This window comes from Homo sapiens, chromosome Y, assembly GCF_000001405.40.
Source record: "Homo sapiens chromosome Y, GRCh38.p14 Primary Assembly".
NCBI classification, from domain to species: Eukaryota; Metazoa; Chordata; class Mammalia; order Primates; family Hominidae; genus Homo; species Homo sapiens.
The window spans coordinates 23,154,011-23,171,993 of record NC_000024.10 but is presented as its reverse complement, the minus strand read 5'-3'; the positions used below and the strand labels follow the sequence as shown (position 1 = coordinate 23,171,993).

At 33.8% G+C, this 17,983-nt stretch overlaps 1 protein-coding gene across 2 annotated transcripts in view; it reads left to right on the top strand.

The window, feature by feature from the left end:
• DAZ1 (deleted in azoospermia 1) overlaps positions 1 to 17,983 on the top strand; it is a 69,740-nt gene that overhangs the window by 27,101 nt on the left and 24,656 nt on the right. Inside the window, exons 12-22 of one of the 2 annotated variants that reach the window (NM_004081.7) lie at positions 1,484 to 1,630; positions 1,905 to 1,996; positions 2,557 to 2,608; positions 3,045 to 3,108; positions 3,198 to 3,337; positions 4,738 to 4,809; positions 7,183 to 7,254; positions 9,574 to 9,645; positions 11,970 to 12,041; positions 14,353 to 14,424; positions 16,749 to 16,820. In NM_004081.7, coding sequence (NP_004072.3) covers positions 1,484 to 1,630; positions 1,905 to 1,996; positions 2,557 to 2,608; positions 3,045 to 3,108; positions 3,198 to 3,337; positions 4,738 to 4,809; positions 7,183 to 7,254; positions 9,574 to 9,645; positions 11,970 to 12,041; positions 14,353 to 14,424; positions 16,749 to 16,820 — 927 coding nt within the window. The remainder of the gene's footprint in view (positions 1 to 1,483; positions 1,631 to 1,904; positions 1,997 to 2,556; positions 2,609 to 3,044; positions 3,109 to 3,197; positions 3,338 to 4,737; positions 4,810 to 7,182; positions 7,255 to 9,573; positions 9,646 to 11,969; positions 12,042 to 14,352; positions 14,425 to 16,748; positions 16,821 to 17,983) is intronic. The other variant, NM_001388496.1, reaches the window with a different exon arrangement.

Genomic DNA, 17,983 nt, shown 5'->3' with positions numbered 1-17,983 from the left:
AAATAGTGTTTTAAATTTTTCTTTCACATCATTGTCATGAAATAACGCTGTTAAAGGAAAGAATTAGGAATTAGTTACAGACCCAAAATAGCAAGTACAAGCACGAAAGAATAGAGAAATGCAGTAACCTCGGCTTTAGTTGATTTGACAATTTAGATTTGATCTCTAGTAAAGCTGTGTAGAATCAGTAACTTCTAGGCTCTAATTAACAAAGCAGGAACCCTCCTTTCTTATTAACTTCTATAACATTACTGTGTTCAAAAAGATAACGCAGTTTCTTTTGTCTTTTGTTTTCTTTCAGACAGGTATATGTGTAATAGCTTTCTCTTTTGCAGCATTTTGTACTGACATTTGTGAAGTCAACAGCACTTCACCAATGATTTTTAAATTAATGATGTGTCATAGTTTCCTGATGTGTCAATTAGTTCTTAATTAAAATTTTTTCAAAATAAGTCAGCTAAATAGTGAAGCCAAAAAAGAAACTTGAAAACAAATCGGCTGAAAATAAATTCAAATAACAGGACACTAACTTACATTGGCACACCACTTGTACCACTTTATACGTACAAAATGAATTCACAGATGTGATCTCATGTCATTCTCAAAGCACTTTGCCCACAGATACATAGCTGGCAAGTAGGTGGCTTATAACCACTTACCTGTAAGGGACATAAACCTAGATCTCCTGACTGAATTATTTGTTTCACTATGCTATATTGTTTCTCCAACGTATATATTACTTATGAATACTACTTCAGAAAATTTTACATTAACCTTAGAGTCTGCTGTGGAAAGAATAAAGACAGTTCTGATCAGAATCTAGAAAATTAGTGAGTTATATGTATGTGTTTTTTTATCTGAAAATAAAGATGGTATCATTTATATCTATCAGCCCACTGTGAAAATCAGAATTATCAGTCAGACTGATTCCGTGTTACTCAGGAAGAAAAATGTTATTTCAAAAGATGCTTTGAACACCCTAGCGTTAGGGAAGAGGATTGTAACAAATTGGTTTAAAACGTTGAGGCTTATTTTCTTTTTGGTGGGGCTTTTTTTTTTTTTTTTTTTTTAAGATTTATCTTTAGTCTACTCAGTAAAGTGAAAAGTTGTTTATGAATATAGAACAGGATGATTTTAATAACTTTAATTTTTACAAATCTAAACTCTCTAGTTTTGGGTGTCTTTTTTAACTACTTCACGTAGTACTTTCACAAATACTAAATGGGTATTCTTCCACAGCATTATACAAGACTCGGTGATGAGCGGCACTAGGTTTAAGAAAGTACTGTATCCTTCGGTTAAAATTCCATGCTGATGTACTCTGATAAGTTTAAATCCTGAGCCTGAACTGAGCTGCACTGGTGACTGAATTACAATGAAAGTAATTTATATAAAATATACTTAAAATACAAAAATGGTATTTCACATTATGTATGGGTTTTGCCTGCATACGTAATTATGATGTCTACTTTCCAAATTACAGTCTGCTGCAAATCCTGAGACTCCAAACTCAACCATCTCCAGAGAGGCCAGCACCCAGTCTTCATCAGCTGCAGCTAGCCAAGGCTGGGTGTTACCAGAAGGCAAAATCGTGCCAAACACTGTTTTTGTTGGTGGAATTGATGCTAGGGTATTGTATTCGTACCTCATTTTTACCTTAACATACATCATGAACAATGGGATGTGGGCCCTGTTACAAACTTAAATTTTTTTTTGTACTTCCTGGAGGTTTAGAATTGCTTTTAGGTTTGACCCATAGGTACTAAAAATATCTTTGACAAAGGGCTGCTGGTCATTCGGGGATAAATGGGGGAGAAATTTCCACCTCATGGTAGTAAAATTGTAGTAAAGTTGAAATTTTTGAATGCTGAATTTTTACTCTGACGTTCAGTTCTTTTCCATAGATGGATGAAACTGAGATTGGAAGCTGCTTTGGTAGATACGGTTCAGTGAAAGAAGTGAAGATAATCACGAATCGAACTGGTGTGTCCAAAGGGTGAGTAATTTTATCAAAAATATGTGAACTCCAGTCACCTATTCTATAAGTATCAGACAAGACTTCAAAACTGATATTCTGACCCTTGTATAAATGCAATATTCTGCAGTGTTAATTTCTTTCACGTAGGGGATAAAAGGCTATTACCAGTTCTTCTATTTGACCATTTTTCTAATGTTTGTATTTAAATGTCTCCAGTTTCTATTTCATACAGATGAGTTAATCAGTTTTCTCAAATAATTGTTTTCTTCATACACTGCAGAGCATCTTAAATTTTAACCACCTTGTCTTAGACAGTAAGTTAAACTCAGGTTCACAGATATGAATTCTTTGCTAATCAATAAAGTTGTCACACTGCCCTAATCCTAGCACATTTTGACATAGTTCTGCTTAAGAAAAAGTGGTATTTGTAGAGGATCTGTCATGTACATCTTAGCAAATACTTATCATGGTATATTATTCGTCTTTTGTCATGACCACTTCTGTATATAGAATAGTAGACCTTCTGAACCACGTACTGTATGATGGTGATTTTATGCTTCATTTGTCTGCCTTTATAGCTATGGATTTGTTTCGTTTGTTAATGACGTGGATGTCCAGAAGATAGTAGGAGTAAGTAATCTAATAGAAAAATCTCTTATTTATCTTATTGCTACAACGTTTAGTGTCAGTGATACACTCGGACTTGTGTAAAATTTGGGGAAAGACACACTTCCTGTTCAAAATCCAAACTCAGAGTAACCTCACGTAGCTTGTTTGATCCTGTTTATTTTTGACTGGACACCTAGTTTCATGAACTACAGACAGGAAGGGTTGGAGACAGGGTGATGGAAAGTTTTTGATCAACTTTCACTTGATGCCTCTTGACACTGATTAGAGTAGTAAGGGTAAGTAAGGTAGCTTCGTGATGACAAATTTTAATTTGGTGCGTAGTTGTCCCCGATCTTCTATGATGATAGGTACTTTAGAAGACTTCAGGTGTTTACCCAAGTCTTGGAAGCTAACACTTGAAAATTGATTCTAGTTTTGTTAACGGTTCTATTTTCAGTCACAGATACATTTCCATGGTAAAAAGCTGAAGCTGGGCCCTGCAATCAGGAAACAAAAGTTATGTGAGTAGGAAAAGAAATGGTTCTTTTCTGACCCGTGTAGCTTTTCAAATAACTAAAAATAGGCTTTTTTCTTCTTGCTTTTTAAAAAGGTGCTCGTCATGTGCAGCCACGTCCTTTGGTAGTTAATCCTCCTCCTCCACCACAGTTTCAGAACGTCTGGCGGAATCCAAACACTGAAACCTACCTGCAGCCCCAAATCACGCCGAATCCTGTAACTCAGCACGTTCAGGTAAGAACTGCTTATGTTCCTGTTCTCTTGTTTATTCTAGTCATCCTTCCCTCTGTGGAATTGTATCTACACTTTCCATAGTAAGTGGCAATAGAATCCCTGTTTGAACAGTGTGAGTAACGGGAAATCTGTTACTTTTGTTAGAAATTTCTTATTCTTCGTGTTCGTCATTTGAGCTAAGAATCTTCTGTATACTTGGCGAAGCTTTCTCTTAGAAATGACCTCTGTAGACACATGAACAAATCTCTTCCTATCTCTGCCTCTTTCACCTCATATAACTAGTTCCTAAAGTATTTGGAAGCAGCCCTCCTTATGTGTCTGCCTAGTTTATTGTTCTCTAAGGTTAGCAGTTAACCTAGCTATTCTTTACTTGCAGTGATTTCCAGATGCCTCCTCATATAAATTGCTTGACTTCTGGGTATATTCTGGTTCTGGGATGGGTAGATTTCTGATCTCTTTTGCTCTATCTAGAAATCCCGTGAGTTTCTGGCACGTAATTTCTCTGATGCTGGTTGCTTTGATATTTAAAGTAGGATTTGACATACTCTTGTCACTTACTGGTGATAAATAACGTTTAGTTTGTTCTTCGTTCATTTTATTTATGTGTTAGTTTTTAAAAAGAGGTTTTCTTCGATGGAAAATAAAGTAACCAAATAGTAGTGAATTAGTTCTTCAATGTCTCTCATTTGTTGACATTTTCCATGTACTTGAAACGTGTGGGGTACACCTCTTCTTCTTTTTCCTTCTCTGAGCAATGGCTAGAAGAAAAGCCCTACTTGTTTGTAGCATTTACTGTGAGCCATTACTGAATGTGGGTGTATTGATGAATGATGCTACCTGTATGTTTTTAATCAGTAAGTATTTATTGAAAAGTAGAAGACATTATACTGTCTCTTTTCCAGCTGTGGCTTACTTACTGCCCTTAATTTGTGGAAAAGAAGTACAGAGAAAGCCGTAACATCTGCCGAAGAACTACAGTATTACCCTATAATATCATCAGATAGCAAACAGTCTAGAAGTATTTTGCCAAAGAAAGAGCAAATGTATTATTTTAACTTACGTTGAAATCTATCTTAATAGAGCCTTATCAGCAGCGTAAGAAATAACTTCTGGGTGGGCATAAGTACACAGTATAAATATGGTAGACTTTGGCCGGTGCAACAGTCACTTGTTTTGTCATTTGTCTCTTCCCCCTCCCCGCCCAAAGGGTAGCACTTGACAGAGAATATTTGTTTCTTCATGTCAGTCATTCATTTAGAAATCTGTATTTCTGTATGTAGAAAAATAATTACCATTTCAAGGTTTTTCGTATTTTTGTTATTTTGGGAATGATATTTCTTTCTAGTTAAAGAAAATGTTTTACCGTATTAATCCATTCTTTCTGTAAACTTTATTTTCAGGCTTACTCTGCTTATCCACATTCACCAGGTCAGGTCATCACTGGATGTCAGTTGCTTGTATATAATTATCAGGTAATTGAAGAGGGAGTAAGATGATTTACTTTCAGCTACTATTGAGGCCTCAACTTGCTTATACAAATTGCTTGAATAGGTTGTCCTTTTAAACTAGTGAACTGTACCTAAAATTTAAGAAATCACTTAGAATTAGTGTAATGAGGACCTCTGTTTTGTTTAGAAGTGATGAAATAAGATTTTGACAGGAGGGTACTTAGCAATAACTTTTCCGTAGAACAATTTCTGAGATTTGGTGTTCCCTTCTTTGTTTCAGCATGTATTTTGTTATCTTTGCTGTCAAAGAGCTGAAACATCCAGACTGACTTTCCTGAATCTTGTAGAGATACAGAGTGAAATAAAAGCTTTACCGAATTCTTAGAGCACAGAATTTCAGTTGTATTTTTATTTTAGCTTGCTGCTTCATGATAGCAGTTCTCTGGGTCTCTTTTCAATGGTACAACTATTATCTGTGACCCATAATTGTATCTGTGGTAACAAATTCAAAGAATTAATATCTTTGAGGGTTCCACAATTCTGTTTCCATAAAATTGGGAAAAAGGTGAGGTTTTCTGTGTAGAAGTAACAACAAGAACTTTGGGGATTAGAAACCTAAAGTACTTCTTTTTTCTATTCTGTTTCTTTTATTATAACAAAGGAGCCATCATGATAAATACTCCAATATTATGTAACTCATGTGTTTTTGAAAACGTGTAGGAGTATTTAAATAATTGTGGTTACTTTTTTTTTTTTTTTTTTTTTTTTTAATTTAAGATTCCACTGCACTGGCCTGTTGGGGCGCAAAGGAGTTATGTTGTTCCTCCGGTAAAGCGAATGAGTGAAACATATACCTGCTCTTCTTTCTTGATTTTTTGTGTGGCACATATGCCTATAAATATTTTTAATGATTCTTTATATTGATGTGTTAACGTTTTGTTACTTTCTTTTTAACCCAATTATAATCTCCCATGGGAGAAACAGTGCCTTTTTCTCTCTCAGGTTTTTGTATGCTTAAGCAATGGCTTCTCCAAATTATGACAAGTGTTCAGTTACTTGTCGATAGATTATTTAATCTAAGAAAGGTAGTCCTAATGTGGCTTTATCTAAGAAAGGTAGTATTAATTTGGCTTTAGAATAGCATGTATCTGATGAGAATCTGCATCTGGATGTACCAACCATAAAAAATTTCATAAAGAGAAACAGAAATGTTTTGCTGTTAATTACTCTTAAATAAGAATAGGATTAAAAAGAGTATTACCTCTATAACACCTGAGCTGCTTTCCCCCATATAACTAAAATATTTAAAAGCAGTTCTCCTCATGTGTCTGCCTGCTTTATTCTTCTCTAAGTTTAGCAGTTAATCCAGGTATTCTTTATTTGAAATGATTTCCAGATGCCTCTGCATATTAAATTGCTGACTTCCAGATATATTCTGGTTCTGGAATGGGTAGATTTCTGATATGTTTTAGGTATCTGTAAATCCCGCAAGTTTCTGGCATGTAGTGTCTCTGATCCTTGTTAGTTTGCTATTTAAAGTAGATTTGACATATTCTGTCACTTACTGGTGGTAAATAACGTTTATTTTCTTCTTAGTTCATTTTATTTATATCTTAGTTTAAAAGACATTTTCTTTGATGGAAAATAAAGTAACAGAATAGTAGTGAAGTAGTTATATTCAGTGTTTCTCATTTGTTGACATTTTCCCTGTACTTGAAACATGTACGGTATACCTCATCTTCTTTTTCCTTCTGTGAACAATGGCTGGAATAAAAGCCCTACTTCTATCATTTACTGTGAGCCATTACTGAATCTGGGTGTATTGATGCATGCTGCTTACCTATATGTGTTGAAACAATAAGTATTTATTGAAACATATGAGACATTATACTGTCTCTTTTCCAGTATTGGATTCTATACTGCACTTAGTTTTTCAACATGAAGTACAGAAAACGCCGTAAATTCTGCAGAACTACGTATTACCTTATAATATTGTCAAATACACATCAGTCTGGAAGCATTTTTACAGGGAAATAGCAAATGTATTAATTTAACTTACATTGAACTCTGTCTTAATGCAGCCTTATCACCAGTGCAAGAAATAACTTCTGGGTGGGCATAAGTACACAATATAAGTAAGGTTAACTTTGCCTGGTGTCATAGCCAGTTCTTTTGACATTTGTCTGTTCCCCCTCCACGCCCAACCATAGCACTTGACCGAGAATAATACGTTCTTCATAAATCAGTCAGTCACTTACAATTCTACATTGTTGCAGATAGAAAAATAATTAGTATTTCGAAATTTTTCATAGTTTTGTTATATTGGGACTAATTCTTCCTAATTAAAAATAATGTTTTAACGTATTAATTCATTCTTTCTGTATAATTTATTTTCAGGAATATCCTACTTATCCCGATTCAGCATTTCAGGTCACCACTGGATATCAGTTGCCTGTATATAATTATCAGGTAATGTAAGAGGGAGTAAAATGATTTGCTTTCAGGTATTATTGGGGCCTTTAACTTTTTTAGACAAATTTCCTGAACAGTTGGTCATTTTAAACTAGTGAAGTGTACCTAAAATTTAAGGAAACACTTAGAATTAGTGTAGAATGAAGACATCTGTCTTATTTAGAAGTAATGAAGTAGTATTTTGAGAGGAATATACCTGGCAATAACATTTCTGTAGAAGAGATTTCTGAGATGTGGTGTTCTCTCCTTTACTTCTGGATGTAGTTTTCATCTTTACTGTGAAATAGCTGAATGAAACATCCAAACTGACTTTCATGAATTTTCTTAGGGAGATAGAGTGAAATAAATTTCTGCTGCACTTTTCAGAGCACAGAATCCCAATTACATTTTCATTTTAGCTGGCTGTTTGAAGATAGTAATTCTCTGGATCTCTTTTCATAGATACAAGTATATCTATGACCCATAATTATATCTATGGTAATAAACTGAAAGAGGTAGTATCTTGGAGGTTTCCACATTGCCAACTCCTGAAAATTTGGAGAAAGATGAAGTTTCAAATATAAAAGTAAGAAGAATGTCATGGACTAGAAACATGATGTACTTAAGTTTTCCTTTCTGTTACTTTTATTATAATAAAAAAGGAGACAGCAGGATAAGGACTTCAATATTGTGTTTCTCATGAGTTTTTGAAAATGTGTAGGAATACTTTAATAGTTTTGGTGTCCTTTTTTTTTTTTTTTTTTTTTTTTTTAAGATGCCACCATAGGGGCCTGTTGGGGAGCAAAGGGATTCCGTTCTTGACGTTAAGTGAATTAGCCAAACATAGACTTCCTGTTCATTCTTGATTTTTTTCCATGTCATATATGCCTATAAATATTTTTAAGTGATTCTTTATATTAATTTTTTTGTCGTTGTTACTTTCTTGTTAACCCGATTATGAACTCCCATGGGAGCAAGAGTGCCTTTTTTGCCCTCAGGTTTTTATGTGCCTAAGCAATGGCAGGTCCACATAATGATAGACTATATAATCACAGAAAAGTAGTATTCACTTGACTTTAGAATTATCACGTATCTGCCAATAATCTGCCTCTGGCTTTACCAGCAATAGAAAATTTATAGAAGAGAAACAGAATTGCTTTGCTGTTAATGACGCTTAAATAAGAACAGGAGTGAACGAGAGTATTACCTCCAAATCACCGGAGCTGCTTTCCCCCTTATAAGCAGTTCCTAAAGTGAATGAAAGCAGCTCTCCTTATGTGTCTGCCTACTTTATTCTTCGGTAAGTTTAGCAGTTCATCTAGCTATCCTTTATTTGAAATGATTTCCAGATGCCTCCTCATATAAATTGCTGACTTCTGGATATTTCCTGGTTCTGGAATGGGTAGATTTCTGATGTGGTTTAGTATATATATGTAAACCCCGTGAGCTTCTGGCATCTAATTTCTCTGATCCTGGTTACATTGATATTTAAAGTAGGGTTTGACATACTCTGTCACCTACTGTTGATAAATAACGTTTATATTCTTCTTAGTTCATTTTATTGACGTGTTAGCTTTAAAGACATTTTCTTTGACGGAAAATGAAGTAACAAAATAATAGTGAAATAGTTATGCAGTGTCTCTAATTTGTTGATATTTTCCATGTACTTGAAACTTGTATGGTATACCTCTTCTTTTTCCTTCTCTGAACAATGGCTAGAAAAAAAGTCCTACTTTTTTCTGTCATTTACTGTGAGGCATCACTGATTCTGGGTGTATTCATGTATGCTGCTACCTGTATGTTTTCAAACAATAAGAATTTATTGAAACATGTAAGACATTATACTTTCTCTTCTCCAGTATTGGATCATAGACTGCACTTAGTTTTTCGTAATGAAGTACAGACAAAGCCATAACATCTGTCGAACTACATATTACCCTATAATATTGTCTGATACAAAACAGTCTAGAAATATTCTTACAGAGAAATTGCAAATGTATTAATTTAACTTACCTTGCAATCTCTCTTAATGGAGCCTTACCACCAGTGTAAGAAATAACGTCTGGGTGTGAATAAGTACACAGTATAAGGTAAACTTTGGTGAAGTAGTCAATTCTTTTGTCATTTGTTCCCCCTTCACACCCATAGTGTAGCACTTGACCTAGAATCTTTCTTTCTTCATAAAGTCAGTCATTCATTTGGAATTCTGCATTGTTGTACGTAGAAAAAGGATATTTTACCTTTTGTAATATTTTTGTTATATTGGGAATTATATTTCTTTGTAATTTTAAAAAGTGGTTTACCATATTCATTTTTTTCTGCAACCTTTCTTTTCAGCCATTTCCTGCTTATCCAAGATCACCATTTCAGGTCACTGCTGGATATCAGTTGCCTGTATATAATTATCAGGTAATGTAAGAAGGAGTAAAATGATTTACTTTCAGGTATTACTGAGGCATTCAACTTGTTTATACAAATTTCCTGAATAGTTGGTCATTTTAAATTAGTGAAGTGTACCTAAAATTTAAGGAAACACGTAGAAGTAGTGTAGAATGAAGACCTCTGTCTTATTTAGAAGTAATGAAGTAGTATTTTGAGAGGAATATACTTGGCAATAACTTTTCTGTAGAAGAGATTTCTGAGATGTGGTGTTCTCTTCTTTATTTCTGGATGCAGTTTTCATCTTTACTGTGAAATAGCTGAATGAAACATCCAAACTGACTTTCATGAATTTTCTTAGGGAGATAGAGTGAAATAAATTTATGCTGCACTTTTCAGAGCACAGAATCCCAATTACATTTTCATTTTAGCTGGCTGTTTGAAGATAGTAATGCTCTGGATCTCTTTTCATAGATACAAGTATATCTATGACCCATAATTACATCTATGGTAAGAAACTGAAAGAGGTAGTATCTTTGAGGTTTCCACCTTGCCAACTCCCGAAAATTTGGAGAAAGGTGAAGTTTCCAATATAAAAGTAACAAGAATGTCATGGACTAGAAACATAAAGTACTTAAGTTTTCCTTTCTGTTACTTTTATTATAATGAAAAAGGAGACAGCTGGATAAGTACTTCAATGTTGTATTTCTCATGTGTTTTTGAAAATGTGTAGGAATACATATAATACTTTCGGTGTCCTTTTTTTTTCTTTCTTTTTCTTTCTTTTTTTTTTTTAAGATGCCACCATAAGGTCCTGTTGGGGAGCAAAGGATTATGTTGTCCTTGACGTTAAGTGAATTAGCCAAACATAGATTTTCTGTTCATTCTTGATTTTTTTCCATGTCATATATGCCTATAAATATTTTTAAGTGATTCTTTATATTAATTTTTTTGTTGTTGTTACTTTCTTGTTAACCCGATTATAAACTCCCATGGGAGCAAGAGTGCCTTTTTTGCCCTCAGGTTTTTATGTGGTTAAGCAATGGCAGGTCCATATAATGACAGACTATATAATCAAAGAAAGGTAGTGTTCATGTGACTTTACAATTAGCATGTATCTGCATAGAATCTGCCTCTGGCTTTACCAGCAATAGAATATTTATAGAAGAGAAACAGAAATGCTTTGCTGTTAATGACGCTTAAATGAGAATAGGAGTAAACGAGAGTATTACCGCCAAATCACCGGAGCTGCTTTCCCCCTTATAACCAGTTCCTAAAGTGAATGAAAGCAGCTCCCCTTATGTGTCTGCCTACTTTATTCTTTGGTAAGTTTAGCAGTTCATCTAGCTATTCTTTATTTGAAATGATTTCCGGATGCCTCCTCATATAAATTGCTGACTTCTGGAAATATTCTTCTTCTGGAATGGGTAGATTTCTGATGTGGTTTAGTATATATATAAACCCCGTGAGCTTCTGGCGTCTAATTTCTCTGATTCTGGTTACACTGATATTTAAAGTAGGGTTTGACATACTCCATCACTTAATGTTGATAACTAACCTTTATATTCTTCTTAGTTCGTTTTATTTATGTGTTAGCTTAAAAGACATTTTCTTTGATGGAAAATGAAGTAACAAAATAATAGTGAAATAGTTCTGCGGTTGTCTCTAATTTCGTGATATTTTCCATGTACTTGAAACATGTATGGTATACCTCTTCTTTTTCCTTCTCTGAACAATGGCTAGAAAAAAAGCCTTACTTGTTTCTGTCATTTACTGTGAGCGATTACTGAATCTGGGTGTATTCATGTATGCTGCTACCTGTATGTTTTCAGATAATAAAAATTTTTTGAAACATATAAGACATTATACTTTCTCTTGTCCAGTATTGGATTATAGACTGCACTTAGTTTTTCGTAATGAAGTACAGACAAAGCCATAACATCTGTCAAACTATATATTGTCCTATAATATTGTCTGATACAAAACAGTCTAGAAATATTCTGACAGGGAAATAGCAAATGTATTAATTTAACTTACCTTGCAATCTCTCTTAATGGAGCCTTACCACCAGTGTAAGAAATAACTTCTGGGTGTGAATAAGTACACAGTATAAGGTAAACTTTGGTGAAATAGTCAATTCTTTTGTCATTAGTTCCCCCTTCACTCCCAAAGTGTAGCACTTGTCATAGAATCTTTCTTTCTTCATAAAGTCAGTCATTCATTTAGAATTCTGCATTATTGTATGTAGAAAAACAATATTTTACCTATTTTTGTTATATTCAGAATTATATTTCTTTCTAATTTTAAAAAAATGGTTTACCGTATTCATTTTTTTCTGGAACCTTTCTTTTCAGGCATTTCCTGCTTATCCAAATTCACCATTTCAAGTCGCCACTGGATATCAGTTCCCTGTATACAATTATCAGGTAATGTCAGAGGGAGTAAAATGATTTGCTTTTAGGTATTATTGAGGCCTTTAACTTGTTCATACAAATTTCCTGAATAGTTGCTCATTTTAAACTAGTGAATTGTACCTAAAATTTAAGGAAACACTTAGTGTAGAATGAAGACCTCTGTGTTATTTAGAATAATGAGGTAGTATTTTGACAGGAATATACTTGGCAATAACTTTTCTGTAGAACAGATTTCTGAGATTTGGTGTTCTCTTCTTCATTTCTGGATGTAGTTTTCATCTTTACTGTCAAATAGCTAAATGAAACGTCCAAAGTGTCTTTCATGAATTTTCTTAGGGAGATAGACTGAAATAAAATTATGCTGCACTTTTCAGAGCACAGAATCCCAATTACATTTTCATTTTAGCTGGCTGTTTGAAGATAGTAATGCTCTGGATCTCTTTTCATAGATACAAGTGTATCTGTGACCCATAATTATATCTATGGTAATAAACTGAAAGAGCTAGTATCTTTGAGGTTTCCACATTGCGAAATCCCGAAAATGTGGAGAGAGCTGAAGTTTCCAATGTAAAAGTAACAAGAATGTCATGGACTAGAAACATAAAGTATTTGAGTTTTCCTTTCTGTTACTTTTATTACAATAAAAAAGGAGACAGCAGGATAAGTACTTTAATATTGTGTTTCTCATGTGTTTTTGAAAATGTGTAGCAATACTTCAATAGTTTTGGTTTCCTTTTATTTATTGATTGATTTTTTAAGATTCCACCTTAGGGGCCTGTTGGGTAGCAAAGGGATTATGTTGTCCTTGACGTTAAGGGAATTAGCCAAACATAGACTTCCTGTTCATTCTTGATTTTTTTCCATGTCATATATGCCTACAAATATTTTTAAGTGACTTTTTATGTTAATTTTTTTTTGTTGTTGTTTCCTTCTTGTTAACCCGATTATAAACTCCCATGGCAGCAACAGTGCCTTTTTTGTCCTCAGGTTTTTATGTGCTTAAGCAATGGCAGGTCTACATAATGATAGACTATATAATCAAAGAAAGGGAGTATTCACGTGACTTTAGAATTAGCATGTGTCTGCATAGAATATGCCTCTGGCTTTACCAGCAGTAGAAAATTTATAGAAGAGAAACAGAAATGCTTTGCTGTTAATGACGCCTAAATAAGAAGAGGAGTAAAGGAGAGTATTACCTCCAAATCACCGGAGCTGCTTTCCCCCTTATAAGCAGTTCCTAAAGTGAATGAAAGCAGCTCTCCTTATGTGTCTGCCTACTTTATTCTTCGGTAAGTTTAGCAGTTCATCTAGCTATCCTTTATTTGAAATGATTTCCAGATGCCTCCTCATATAAATTGCTGACTTCTGGATATTTCCTGGTTCTGGAATGGGTAGATTTCTGATGTGGTTTAGTATATATATGTAAACCCCGTGAGCTTCTGGCATCTAATTTCTCTGATCCTGGTTACATTGATATTTAAAGTAGGGTTTGACATACTCTGTCACCTACTGTTGATAAATAACGTTTATATTCTTCTTAGTTCATTTTATTGACGTGTTAGCTTTAAAGACATTTTCTTTGACGGAAAATGAAGTAACAAAATAATAGTGAAATAGTTATGCAGTGTCTCTAATTTGTTGATATTTTCCATGTACTTGAAACTTGTATGGTATACCTCTTCTTTTTCCTTCTCTGAACAATGGCTAGAAAAAAAGTCCTACTTTTTTCTGTCATTTACTGTGAGGCATCACTGATTCTGGGTGTATTCATGTATGCTGCTACCTGTATGTTTTCAAACAATAAGAATTTATTGAAACATGTAAGACATTATACTTTCTCTTCTCCAGTATTGGATCATAGACTGCACTTAGTTTTTCGTAATGAAGTACAGACAAAGCCATAACATCTGTCGAACTACATATTACCCTATAATATTGTCTGATACAAAACAGTCTAGAAATATTCTTACAGAGAAATTGCAAATGTATTAATTTAACTTACCTTGCAATCTCTCTTAATGGAGCCTTACCACCAGTGTAAGAAATAACGTCTGGGTGTGAATAAGTACACAGTATAAGGTAAACTTTGGTGAAGTAGTCAATTTTGTCATTTGTTCCCCCTTCACACCCATAGTGTAGCACTTGACCTAGAATCTTTCTTTCTTCATAAAGTCAGTCATTCATTTGGAATTCTGCATTGTTGTACGTAGAAAAAGGATATTTTACCTTTTGTAATATTTTTGTTATATTGGGAATTATATTTCTTTGTAATTTTAAAAAGTGGTTTACCATATTCATTTTTTTCTGCAACCTTTCTTTTCAGCCATTTCCTGCTTATCCAAGTTCACCATTTCAGGTCACTGCTGGATATCAGTTGCCTGTATATAATTATCAGGTAATGTAAGAAGGAGTAAAATGATTTACTTTCAGGTATTATTGAGGCATTCAACTTGTTTATACAAATTTCCTGAATAGCTGGTCATTTTAAATTAGTGAAGTGTACCTAAAATTTAAGGAAACACGTAGAAGTAGTGTAGAATGAAGACCTCTGTCTTATTTAGAAGTAATGAAGTAGTATTTTGAGAGGAATATACTTGGCAATAACTTTTCTGTAGAAGAGATTTCTGAGATGTGGTGTTCTCTTCTTTATTTCTGGATGCAGTTTTCATCTTTACTGTGAAATAGCTGAATGAAACATCCAAACTGACTTTCATGAATTTTCTTAGGGAGATAGAGTGAAATAAATTTATGCTGCACTTTTCAGAGCACAGAATCCCAATTACATTTTCATTTTAGCTGGCTGTTTGAAGATAGTAATGCTCTGGATCTCTTTTCATAGATACAAGTATATCTATGACCCATAATTACATCTATGGTAAGAAACTGAAAGAGGTAGTATCTTTGAGGTTTCCACGTTGCCAACTCCCGAAAATTTGGAGAAAGGTGAAGTTTCCAATATAAAAGTAACAAGAATGTCATGGACTAGAAACATAAAGTACTTAAGTTTTCCTTTCTGTTACTTTTATTATAATGAAAAAGGAGACAGCTGGATAAGTACTTCAATGTTGTATTTCTCATGTGTTTTTGAAAATGTGTAGGAATACATATAATACTTTCGGTGTCCTTTTTTTTTCTTTCTTTTTCTTTCTTTTTTTTTTTTAAGATGCCACCATAAGGTCCTGTTGGGGAGCAAAGGATTATGTTGTCCTTGACGTTAAGTGAATTAGCCAAACATAGATTTCCTGTTCATTCTTGATTTTTTTCCATGTCATATATGCCTATAAATATTTTTAAGTGATTCTTTATATTAATTTTTTTGTTGTTGTTACTTTCTTGTTAACCCGATTATAAACTCCCATGGGAGCAAGAGTGCCTTTTTAGCCCTCAGGTTTTTATGTGGTTAAGCAATGGCAGGTCCATATAATGACAGACTATATAATCAAAGAAAGGTAGTGTTCATGTGACTTTACAATTAGCATGTATCTGCATAGAATCTGCCTCTGGCTTTACCAGCAATAGAATATTTATAGAAGAGAAACAGAAATGCTTTGCTGTTAATGACGCTTAAATGAGAATAGGAGTAAACGAGAGTATTACCGCCAAATCACCGGAGCTGCTTTCCCCCTTATAACCAGTTCCTAAAGTGAATGAAAGCAGCTCCCCTTATGTGTCTGCCTACTTTATTCTTTGGTAAGTTTAGCAGTTCATCTAGCTATTCTTTATTTGAAATGATTTCCGGATGCCTCCTCATATAAATTGCTGACTTCTGGAAATATTCTTCTTCTGGAATGGGTAGATTTCTGATGTGGTTTAGTATATATATAAACCCCGTGAGCTTCTGGCGTCTAATTTCTCTGATTCTGGTTACACTGATATTTAAAGTAGGGTTTGACATACTCCATCACTTAATGTTGATAACTAACCTTTATATTCTTCTTAGTTCGTTTTATTTATGTGTTAGCTTAAAAGACATTTTCTTTGATGGAAAATGAAGTAACAAAATAATAGTGAAATAGTTCTGCGGTTGTCTCTAATTTCGTGATATTTTCCATGTACTTGAAACATGTATGGTATACCTCTTCTTTTTCCTTCTCTGAACAATGGCTAGAAAAAAAGCCTTACTTGTTTCTGTCATTTACTGTGAGCGATTACTGAATCTGGGTGTATTCATGTATGCTGCTACCTGTATGTTTTCAGATAATAAAAATTTTTTGAAATATATAAGACATTATACTTTCTCTTGTCCAGTATTGGATTATAGACTGCACTTAGTTTTTCGTAATGAAGTACAGACAAAGCCATAACATCTGTCAAACTATATATTGTCCTATAATATTGTCTGATACAAAACAGTCTAGAAATATTCTGACAGGGAAATAGCAAATGTATTAATTTAACTTACCTTGCAATCTCTCTTAATGGAGCCTTACCACCAGTGTAAGAAATAACTTCTGGGTGTGAATAAGTACACAGTATAAGGTAAACTTTGGTGAAATAGTCAATTCTTTTGTCATTAGTTCCCCCTTCACTCCCAAAGTGTAGCACTTGTCATAGAATCTTTCTTTCTTCATAAAGTCAGTCATTCATTTAGAATTCTGCATTATTGTATGTAGAAAAACAATATTTTACCTATTTTTGTTATATTCAGAATTATATTTCTTTCTAATTTTAAAAAAATGGTTTACCGTATTCATTTTTTTCTGGAACCTTTCTTTTCAGGCATTTCCTGCTTATCCAAATTCACCATTTCAAGTCGCCACTGGATATCAGTTCCCTGTATACAATTATCAGGTAATGTCAGAGGGAGTAAAATGATTTGCTTTTAGGTATTATTGAGGCCTTTAACTTGTTCATACAAATTTCCTGAATAGTTGCTCATTTTAAACTAGTGAATTGTACCTAAAATTTAAGGAAACACTTAGTGTAGAATGAAGACCTCTGTGTTATTTAGAATAATGAGGTAGTATTTTGACAGGAATATACTTGGCAATAACTTTTCTGTAGAACAGATTTCTGAGATTTGGTGTTCTCTTCTTCATTTCTGGATGTAGTTTTCATCTTTACTGTCAAATAGCTAAATGAAACGTCCAAAGTGTCTTTCATGAATTTTCTTAGGGAGATAGACTGAAATAAAATTATGCTGCACTTTTCAGAGCACAGAATCCCAATTACATTTTCATTTTAGCTGGCTGTTTGACGATAGTAATGCTCTGGATCTCTTTTCATAGATACAAGTGTATCTGTGACCCATAATTATATCTACGGTAATAAACTGAAAGAGCTAGTATCTTTGAGGTTTCCACATTGCGAAATCCCGAAAATGTGGAGAAAGCTGAAGTTTCCAATGTAAAAGTAACAAGAATGTCATGGACTAGAAACATAAAGTATTTGAGTTTTCCTTTCTGTTACTTTTATTACAATAAAAAAGGAGACAGCAGGATAAGTACTTTAATATTGTGTTTCTCATGTGTTTTTGAAAATGTGTAGTAATACTTCAATAGTTTTGGTTTCCTTTTATTTATTAATTGATTTTTTAAGATTCCACCTTAGGGGCCTGTTGGGTAGCAAAGGGATTATGTTGTCCTTGACATTAAGGGAATTAGCCAAACATAGACTTCCTGTTCATTCTTGATTTTTTTCCATGTCATATATGCCTACAAATATTTTTAAGTGACTTTTTATGTTAATGTTTTTTTTGTTGTTGTTTCCTTCTTGTTAACCCGATTATAAACTCCCATGGCAGCAACAGTGCCTTTTTTGTCCTCAGGTTTTTATGTGCTTAAGCAATGGCAGGTCTACATAATGATAGACTATATAATCAAAGAAAGGGAGTATTCACGTGACTTTAGAATTAGCATGTGTCTGCACAGAATATGCCTCTGGCTTTACCAGCAGTAGAAAATTTATAGAAGAGAAACAGAAATGCTTTGCTGTTAATGACGCCTAAATAAGAA